The 10,195-nt window shown below is 44.6% G+C and overlaps 1 long non-coding RNA gene across 1 annotated transcript; it reads right to left on the bottom strand.

Moving 5' to 3' along the window:
- Nucleotides 1-975: 975 nt before the first annotated feature.
- On the bottom strand, nucleotides 976-8,797 carry LOC124907918 (uncharacterized). The gene is made up of 2 exons (XR_007087333.1): nucleotides 8,414-8,797; nucleotides 976-2,327 (listed from the first exon to the last, which is right to left on the bottom strand). It is a non-coding gene; the product is annotated as an uncharacterized LOC124907918 (long non-coding RNA).
- Between the last annotated feature and the right edge of the window lie 1,398 nt (nucleotides 8,798-10,195).

The raw sequence follows: 10,195 nt of genomic DNA, 5'->3' as shown, positions 1-10,195 counted from the left end.
ATATTTTAGTTTGTCTTAATATTCGTTAAGTGACATTGTTCTACATATTTCTAGTTTTGTACTATCTTTTGAATTTTAATGCCAGGGGTATGTTAGCTTTGTGAAATAAGGAACGGATCCTTTTTCTACACTTTGTAATTATTTTTTAAGTAGAATTTTACTGAACTTTAGGGAAGAATTCTCTTCTGAAATATGTTAGACTGACACTTGTAGTAGAGGCTGGTTCTTTGGCAATAGCAATTAACCTATGACTATCATTATGTTGGTGTTTTTCACTATTGTACTTTAATCCATTTTGTTAACTGGTTGTATTAGTGTGTTTTCACACTGCTATAAAGAACTTCCCAGAGACTGGGTAATTTACAAAAGAAAGAGGCTTAATTGACTGATAGTTCTGCACAGCTGGGGAGGCCTCAGGAAACTTACAATCATGGCAGAAGGGGAAGCAGGCACCTTCTTCACAAGATGGCAGGAGAAAGGGTGTGTGTAAAGGGGGAACTGTCAAACTTATGAAACCATCAGATCTCGTGAGAACTCAGTCACTATTATGAGAACAACATGGGAGAAACCACCCCCATGATCCAGTCACCTCCCACCAGGTCTCTCCCTTTGTGTCCGGAATTGTTGGGTTCTTGGTCTCGCTGACTTCAAGAATGAAGCTGTGGACCCTCGTGGTGAGTGTTACAGTGCTTAAAGATGGCGTGTCCAGACTTTGTTCCTTCTGATGTTCAGACGTGTGTGGAGTTTCTTCCTTCTGATGGGTTCATGGTCTTGCTGACTTCAGGAGTGAAGCTGCAGACCTTCACAGTGAATGTTACAGCTCTGAAAGGCAGCGCATCTGGAGTTGTTCGTTCCTCCCATCCAGAGTTGTTTGTCCCTCCAGATGGGTTGATGGTCTTGCTGGCTTCAGGAGTGAAGCTGCAGACCTTCGCGGTGAGTGTTAACAGCTCATAAATGCAGCCCGGACCCAAAGAGTGAGCAGCAGCAAGATTTATTGCACGAAGAGCGAAAGAACAAAGCTTCCACAGCACAGAAGGGGACCCAAGTGAGTTGCTGAGGCTGGCTCGGGCAGCCTGCTTTTATTTCCTTATCTGACCCCACCCACATCCTGCTGATTGGTCCATTTTACAGAATGCTGATTGGCCCATTTTACAGAGAGCTGATTGGTCTGTTTTGACAGGGTGCTGCTTCGTGCATTTACAAACCTTGAGCTAGACACAGAGTACTGATTGGTGCCTTTACAATCCTTTGGCTGGACACAAAAGTTCTCCAAGTCCCCACTAGATTAGCTAAACACAGAGCACAGATTGGTGTGTTTACAAACTTTTAGCTAGACACAGAGTGCTGATTGGTGAATTTAGAATCTTTTAGCTAGACATGGAGTGCTGATTAGTGCATTTACAATCCTCTAGCTAGACATAAAAGTTCTCCAAGTCCCCACCCAACTCAGGAGACCAGCTGGCTTCACCTAATGGATCCTGCACCAGGGCCATGGGCAGAGCTGCCCGCCAGTCCCACGCCGCATGCCTGCACTCCTCAGCCCTTGGGCAGTCGATGGGACTGGGTGCCATGGAGCAGGAGGCAGCACCTGTTCGGGAGGCTCGGGCCGTGCGGGAGCCCACGCCCATGGGTGGGGGGCTCAGGCATGGTGGGCTGCTGGTCCTGAGCCCTGCCCCATGGGGAGGTGGCTGAGGCCCGGCGAGAATTCGAGCATGGCACAGGCGGGCCAGCAGTGCTGGGGGACCCGGCGTACCCTCTGCAGCTGCTGGCCCAGGTGCTAAGACCCTCACTGCCTGGGGCCAGTGGTGCCGGCCGGCCACTCCAAGTGTGGGGCCCGGCAAGCCTGCGCCCACCCGGAACTCACACTGGCCCGTGAGTGCTGCGCACAGCCCCGATTCCCTCCCACGCCTCTCCCTCCACACCTCCCCGCAAGCAGAGGGAGTCGGCTCCAGCCTCGGCCAGCCCAGAGAGTGGCTCCCACAGGGAAGCGGCAGGCTGAAGGGCTCCTCAAGCACAGCCAGAGTGGATGCCAAGGCCGAGGAGGTGCCGAGAGTAAGTGAGGACTGCTAGCCGTTGTCACCTCTCAATCCCCCCTCTAAACAGGACACCCCAACTGCTATTGGGAATTTGGCCAATGACCACTCTAGCTACTTCCTGCTGGATAGGGGTGAAGAAGGGGCCCTGCAGTTGTAGTGTTCTCCAGAGGGGAATGATTTAGGCCAGTGGAAGGGCCAGTGGGTCAGTCCAGGGGTCCTTGGTAGAAGTTGTTAGTTGAGGTCATTTGAGGTTCCATTTGTAAGATCATCTGTAGCTTGATGGCCTCGATTCTAGAGGAAACAAATTCGACAAGGAGATTAAAAATACAGGGTCCAAAGAGGAATAACAGCAAGATGGCTGCCACGGGACCTAGAAAGGGGAAAAGCCATGTTGCCCAACTCCAGAGGTTGGTAAAAGAGTTTGAAAGACATTGTCTGATTTCAGAAGCCTTTTCCTGTAAATACTGGGCAGCATCTCATACTATCCCTGACTGTTTAGTGTAAAAACAACACTCTTCCCCTAAGAAGTTGCAGAGTCCTCTTTTCTCAGCAGTGAGGAGGTCTAGGCCTCAGCGGTTTTGGAGAGTCACTGCTGCCAAAGAGTCTATTTGGGATTGTAAAGCAAGGATAGATTTTGTTATTCCTGCAAACTGTCTGAGAAATCCTTTGAGAGTGTGTGGTAGTAGGATAATGAAGTAGATAAACCAGCTATTCTGGTTCCTGTAGCAGTAGCCATTCCTAACCCTATAAGTAGGGGTATTAGTTGTATGGCTCTGCGCTGATGGACTTGAGCTTTGAGGGGTACTGATAAGGTCTGATTTCCACAAGATTAGAAGTTAGGATAATACATGTTACACTGTTAACTTTTTTAGCAAACTTTACTTTGTTGAAAACCTTGTAAGTTTGGGATTTCAATTATTCTTTGCTATTAATAAGACCTTGTTCAGTCCATATTAACTTAAAATTGGTATAGATGTCTCCTTCCTGATTCAGTAAGAACTTTAAGATTTGGCTGAGTGCAAACAACTCGCACGTTTGAGCAGACCAATTATTAGGCAATTTTCCTAACTGCTTCTACAAGAGTTTCCTTATCACTTACTGAATACCCACTGTGTCTTTTTCCCTTAATCACCCAGGAGGAACCATCTATCATCCTGTCCTGAAGGGAGTTCCTCCTAGATCTGGTCGGAACTTTGTATGGTAATTAATTAAGATTTAGATCCTCTGTTGGGAAACCTGCTGGGTTAAGGATTTTTCATAGGAAGGCTATGGGTTGTCAGTGGCCTCAGTGCTTTTGGGCTACGCCCTTGTTTACACTGGCAACAAGGTGGTATTGGAGTGTTATAGGGTTACAGAGAAGGCCTTCAATTATCAATTATAGGTACTACTTCTATCTCTCTTTCTCTTTGACTTCTTCTTTGTCTCTCTCTTTCTGACTCTCTCTGTCACTTCCTCTCTCTCTCTCTTTCTCTCTCTGACTTTATTTCTCTTTCTCTCTTTCCTTCTTTGACTTTGTCTCCTCTTTCTCTCTGCTGGTCTGTCTCTGCCTCTGCCAGCCGCTTATGCTGCTGTTCTCCTCTCTCCTTCTCCTTTTTGATGGCTTCGGCAGTGTAAGATGGCCACCTCTTTGGATTTTTGCACTGCTTGCAATAAGTCTATAATTTCCTTGTGGTATTTAATGGGGGTTCCCCCAAAGGTTAGGAACTCCCTTTCTTTCCATATTGCAGCATGGGCATGTAGGATTAGACAAGCATACTTTCTATCTGTATACACATTTATTCTTTTCCCTTTCCCAGTTCTAAGGCTCGGGTAAGTGCCACTAGTTCTGCTAACTGGGCACTGGTCCCTGGGGGAAGAGGCTTACTTTCAAGTATGGTTACATCACTAACTATGGCATAACCTGCCCTTCGTATCCCATTCTCTACAAATGAACTTCCATCAGTATATAGGTTAAGGTCAGGATTAGCTAAGGGGACTTCTAAGAGATCATCTTGGGTGGCATAAGTCTGGACTATAATTTGTTGGCAGTCACATTTCATTGGTTCCCCATCCTCTGGGAGAAAAGTGGCAGGGTTGAGGGCCACACACATATGTATTTGAAGCACCAGTCCCTCAAGGAATAGCACCTGGTATCTAAGTAGGCAGTTGTCTGATAGCCATAAACTTCCTTTGGCACCTAGTATGCCATTTACATCATAAGTAGTCCAGACAGTGAGATCCTTTCCTTGTATTATTTTGATAGCCTCTGACACTAAGACAGCCACTGCTGCAACTACCCATAAACAGTGAGGCCACCCTTTTCTATTACATCAATTTGCTTACTTAGGTATGTCACAGGTTGTGGGGTTGTCCCACGAGTCTGAGTAAGGACTCCAAGAGCTATCCCTGCTCTTTCTGTGACATATAAAGAGAAGTTTTCTCCTGTGGGAAGGCTTAAAGTTGGAGCTTGTACTAGGGCCTGCTTTAAGGTTTTGAAGGCTGTTTCTGCCTCTGGTTCCCATTCTACTAGATGAGTATTTGCTCTCTGGGTCTCCTTGATTAGAGTATAGAGGGACTTGGCTATCTTGCTGCATCTGGGGATCCATACTGGGCAAAAGCGGTGATTCCAAGGAACCCCCACAACTGTTTTAATGTCTTGGGGTGAGGATAAGCCAGTATAGGCTGTATTCATTCCTTGCTGAGGTCCCTGGTTCCTCTGTCTAAGATTAGGCCTGGATATTTGACCTGCTGTAGGCAAAGCTGGGCCTTCGACCTAGACACCTTGTACCCTTGATTAGCTAGAAAGTTCAAGAGATCTAGAGTAGCCTGCTGGCATGAGGCTTCCAAACTGGTAGCCTAAAGTAAATCATCCACATACTGAAGGACCGGAATGCCTTGACTTGAGAAGTGGCCTAGATCTTGGGCCAGTGCCTGACAAAACAGTTGAGGGCTATCCCTAACCCTTAGGGCAAGACCGTCCATGTAAGTTGGGATGTGTGGTCTGTGGGATTCTCAAAGGCAAAGAGAAACTGGGAGTCAGAGTGCAGGGGAATATAGAAGAAGGCATCCTTGAGGTCCAGAACAGTGAACCATTCTGTTTCCTCTGGTATTTGAGAGAGCAGGGTATAGGGGTTGGGTACAACTGGATATAGAGGAATTACTGACTCATTGATGAGTCCAAGATCTTGCACTAGTTTCCACTGACCGTTTGGTTTTTATACTCCTAGAATTGGAGTGTTGCAGGGCTGCTGCATTTCCTTAATAAGCCTTGGCTTTTAAATGTTTAACAATATCCTGTAATCCTTTATGAGCTTCAGGCTTTAGGGATATTGCCTTTGGTAAGGAAAAGTGGTGGGATCTTTTAGGCTGATTTGGACTGGGTGGGCAATTTTTGCCCTTCCAAATTGTCCTTCCAATGCCCAGACTTCAGGGTTGGTTCCTTCCTCAGGTAGGGGACAACAAACGGGTAACTTGTTCCCCATATTCATGTAGATAATAGCTCCAGCTTTGGCTAATATATCCCTCCCTAATAAGGGTGTGGGACTTTCAGGCATAACAAGAAAGGCATGTGAAAAGAGCAAAGTCTCCCAATTTCAATAGAGGTGTTGAGAGAAATACCTGGTTACAGGCTGTCCCAGGATTCCTCGGATGGTAACGGACCTTGAGGACAGTCATCCAGGACAGGAGATTACCACTGAGAAGGCTGTGCCAGTGTCCAGGAGGAAGTCAATTTCCTGACCCTCAGTGGTTAAGCATACCTGGGGCTCAGTGAGAGTGATGACATGAGCTGGTGCTTGGCCCAGGCACCCTTTTGTTGGATCCTGTTGTTGGATCCTCTGGTTGGGGGCTTCTGACCCAGAGAACCTTTGTCCTCTGGGGCAGTGCACCTTCCATTGATTGCCTTGGCATAGTGGACATGGACGAGGGGGTGGCTTGTTTCTCCTTGGACAATCTTTTTTAAAGTGTCCTTGTAAACTACACTGATAACAAGCCCTACTGGGTAATTGACCTGCTCCATTTTCTGTCCTCTGTGAACCACCAAGGTTTGTTTGTCTGAGGGCCATGACTAAGGCTGTGGCCTTTCCCTGATCTCGGTTTTCCTTTTTGGCCTGTTCCTCTTGGTCCCTATTATAGAACACCGAGGTTGCCAGGTTTAATAATGCCTCCAAATTTTGTTCAGGGACCAGGGCTTGCTTTTGGTGCTTTTTCCCAATATCTGCAGCAAATTGGGTAATAAACTTATCTTTTATAATCAATTGACCCTCGAGTGATTTGGGTGACAGGGGAGTATATATTCTTAAGGCATCCCATAGCCACTCAAGGAAGGCAGAAGGATTTTATTCCTTTCCCTGAGTTATGGTGGACATCATTGAATAATTCATGGGTTTTTTCCTAATTCTCCTTAGTCCTTCTAGAACACAAGTCAACAGATGTTTATGACTCCAGTCCCCATGGTCTGAGTCAAGGTCCCAGTGGGGATCCATACTGGGGATGGCTTGCTGACCAGTAGGGAATTTATCCCTTTCTTCAGCTGCCATTCTATCATTTACTTGACTAAGATATCAGGTATCTTCAAACTCTCAGGCTGCAGCTACAGCCACATTCTTTTCATTAAAGGCCAGAGTTTGATCTAACAGTAGCATGACATCTCTCCAAGCAAGGTCAAAGGTTTGCCCTAGACCCTGTAGGACATCTATGTACCTATCAGGATCATCTGAAAACTTCCCCAGGTCTGCCTTGATCTGCTTTAAATCAGAGAGGGAGAAAGGGACATGTACCCGGGTTGGGCCAAATTCCCCTCCCCCTATAGCTTGAAGGGGACATAACTGATAGCCTGGGGGTTTTTGTGGTCTTTTGGAAATTTCTTTGCTTATTTCCTTCTTGGTGGGAGAGATTTGAGGAGGATTATCTTTAATAGGAAGGGGAGCTATAGGGAGGCTAGGATATGGGAGTAAGCTGGGGAAGGTCCTCCTGTGGGATGTAAATTGCAAGCTTTGCATAGTTGTGTATTCTTCTTCAATGAAAAGAAAGCTTGGACATACGGTATTTCACTCCATTTGCCTTCCCTCTTACAGAAAAAGTCAAGCAGCAGGATAGTATTATAATTTATACTTCCCTCAAGTGGCCATTTTTCCCCTTCAGAGAGAGAATATTGGGACCAGGCCATAGTGCAGAAAAAAATGAGCTGCCTCTTTTTCAGGGTTTGCGGGTCAAATTGGTCCCAAAGGCTTAGGATGCATTTCAAGGGTGAGCCTGTTGATGCCTGAGTGTTTCCCATCTGAAAGACAAAACCATCCATGGTTTTGGTTTGTTTTGTTTCTCCCCATGCCCAAGAACCCGCAATGGTCCCTGGACCCTGCTGATCAGAATAGTTGTGCTTACCAATGCAGCAGCAGAAACACTAGTTTTCCTCCCAGACCACAAGGAGGACCAAGGAAGGTCAGATTTAGTGGCCCTTACCAACGCATTCTCGAAAACCTGCACCCTTGCCTGTCCTCCTAGACCACAAGGAGGACTGACAAAAATCGGATTTAGTGGCCCTTACCAACACATTCTCAAATATCTGTTAGAATCCTAAGCATTCTTCTGTTAGTATTGGGACCTTACCCCTGTCCTATAAAGATGTTATGCCCCCAAAATGAAGTGGAGGCCCATGCCCTGGGGGAGGGAAGGGATCTCCAGAGTTGGAAGAGTGATGCCTTTTGTCCTCACTTATATGAATAGGAAGGATACAATTTCTGAGGCTCCCCATATCTTAGCTTCAGGAATAGCTTTTGTTAGGCCTGCTTGTCTGAGGAAGGATCCTAAAATTCCAGATAGTCGCCCCTACGACAGGTCTTTGGGTCAAAATTATGTCTTTCTGATTTGTGAGCCCGGTTGCCTAAAGAAGGGAATAGAGTCCTGGAGTTTATACTAGAAATTATTCTTATAGGAGAAACTAGAAAAGAACCAGAGACAGGGAGTGGTTTTTAGAAGTGGGATTGCCTCAGAGAAGAGAAGTGAGAGGAAGTTTGTCTGGCAGTCGTTAGGACCCAGGGGACAAGGGATGGGCAAGTCTCACTTGGGTGACATGCCTTTGAGAGTTCCACTCATGGCCGCAGGGTCAACCAACTTGTTGTCGGGACCCCGGAGCTGAATGCCTTTCCTCTCTGTTAACCTCGGCTCAGCCCAGAAGTACAGGAAAAGTGGAAGCTGGTTCAAGGCAAACCAATGCTCCCAATTATGAAGAGTCGGGGGTTGTTAGAGAGCCCTTTCCCAGAAAGCCTGACACCCATGTCTTTAGTCTGTCAACTGCACTAGTCTCTTTTAACTGGCCAACAGGTGCCCAGTATTTAACCCCTGAATTCTAAGGAAAAATAGGACAGAATAGCAAGCAAAAGGGGTCCGATAGTACTTACTGCTTGGCGATAGGCGATAGTCTTACCGCTTGGTGATAGTCCCTTCATGGCTGCCAAAATGTGTCTGGAATTGGTGGGTTCTTGGTCTTGCTGACTTCAAGAATGAAGCCGCGGACCCTCACAGTGAGTGTTACAGTTCTTAAAGATGGCGTGTCCGGACTTTTTTCCTTCTGATGTTTGGACATGTCCGGAGTTTCTTCCTTCTGATGGGTTCATGGTCTCGCTCACTTCAGGAGTGAAGCTGCAGACCTTCATGGTGAGTGTTACAGCTTTTAAAGGCGGCACGTCTGGAGTTGTTCATTCCTCCCATCCAGAGTTGTTTGTCCCTCCCAGTGTGCTGGTGGTCTTGCTGGCTTCAGGAGTGAAGCTGCAGACCTTCGCTGTGAGTGTTACAGCTCATAAAGGTGGCACAGACCCAGAGAGTGAGCAGCAGCAAGATTTATTGTGAAGAGCGAAAGAACAAAGCTTCCACAGTGTGGAAGGGGACCCAAGCAGGTTGCCGCTGCTGGCTTGGGCAGCCTGCTTTTACCTTGACATGTGGGGATTATAGGAATTACAAATCAAAATGAGATTCGAGTGGGAACACAGAGCTGAAGAATGTCATCAGTATTTTCCTTTATAAGTGTCCAATTTTTCTAGGGGATTATATTGTAAAAATACAATTCTTATATTTTTCTATATCTCATTATTTCCTTTTATTAATCCCTATTTTCATTTTTTCTCAAAAAATTGTTGATTTCCTTTGTTAATTTGTGCATGTAATTGTTTTGTGTATTTGAAAATACATTTTTGGATTTATTTAATTTTACTTTCACCTTCCATCAGATTTATTTTCTGTTTTGTTTTTCTAATTTCTTGGGTGAATATTTAATTAATCTAGTTTTGCTCTTTTGTTCCTGTGTAGATATGCAGAAGTTAAAGGATTTACATTTTTAACTTATTTCTGCATTAAAAAATTCTCATAGTTTTAAGATGTTGTATTTTAAATTATTACTCTTACAGATTTTCAGAATATTATCATCTTATTCATTGCTCTCAGAACCACTTAGGAATTTGTTTTTCAACTTCTGAGTCATGAATTAATTTTATGTCTACTTTTGTTTTTATTTTCATTTGTGTAGCAATGCAAAATTTACTAACAATTTTGTAACCTAATATGATCAATTACCCTGAAAGCTCTAAGGTGGCACAAATAGAAGGATGTTCTTTATCACAGGATATAGGTTTTGTTATGTATTTGTTAGATTAACCTTATTGACAATACCAAGTATTGATGGGGACATGGATCACCTAGAACTCTCAAACACTGCAGGTAGAAGTATATAATAACCACTTACAAAAACTTGCTTTTTTTCAGCAAAAAACTTGCTAAAGTTAAATATGCATTCATTATAAAATTCATCAATCACATTCTTGAGTTTTTACACGAGGTGAAAAATTATGTCCATATAAAATGTCAATTATTTCTAGCGGCTTTGCTCATAATACTTAAAAACTGCAAACAATCCAAATATCCATCACAGAATTATAGAATAATTGTAGTATACCTGCAAATTAGATTCTTATTCAGCAATAAAAAGGAACTATGCAATCAATGATGTATTTAAATTTCAAAAAAATAATGGAGGGGGTGGAGAATCAGAAACAGAAGGCTACATGCTGTATGATTTCATAGAAAGTCTATAATACACAAAACTAATCTATAGTTGTAAAAATAAGGCAGTGATTGCCTCGGGACTGGGGGTGGTGTCTGCTAAGACTCATAGGGAAACTGGCATGAAG

This window comes from Homo sapiens, chromosome 2 (assembly GCF_000001405.40).
Source record: "Homo sapiens chromosome 2, GRCh38.p14 Primary Assembly".
Classification (NCBI taxonomy): Eukaryota; Metazoa; Chordata; class Mammalia; order Primates; family Hominidae; genus Homo; species Homo sapiens.
Note: the sequence above shows the minus strand (reverse complement) of the source record. Positions and strands in the feature narration are given on the sequence as shown.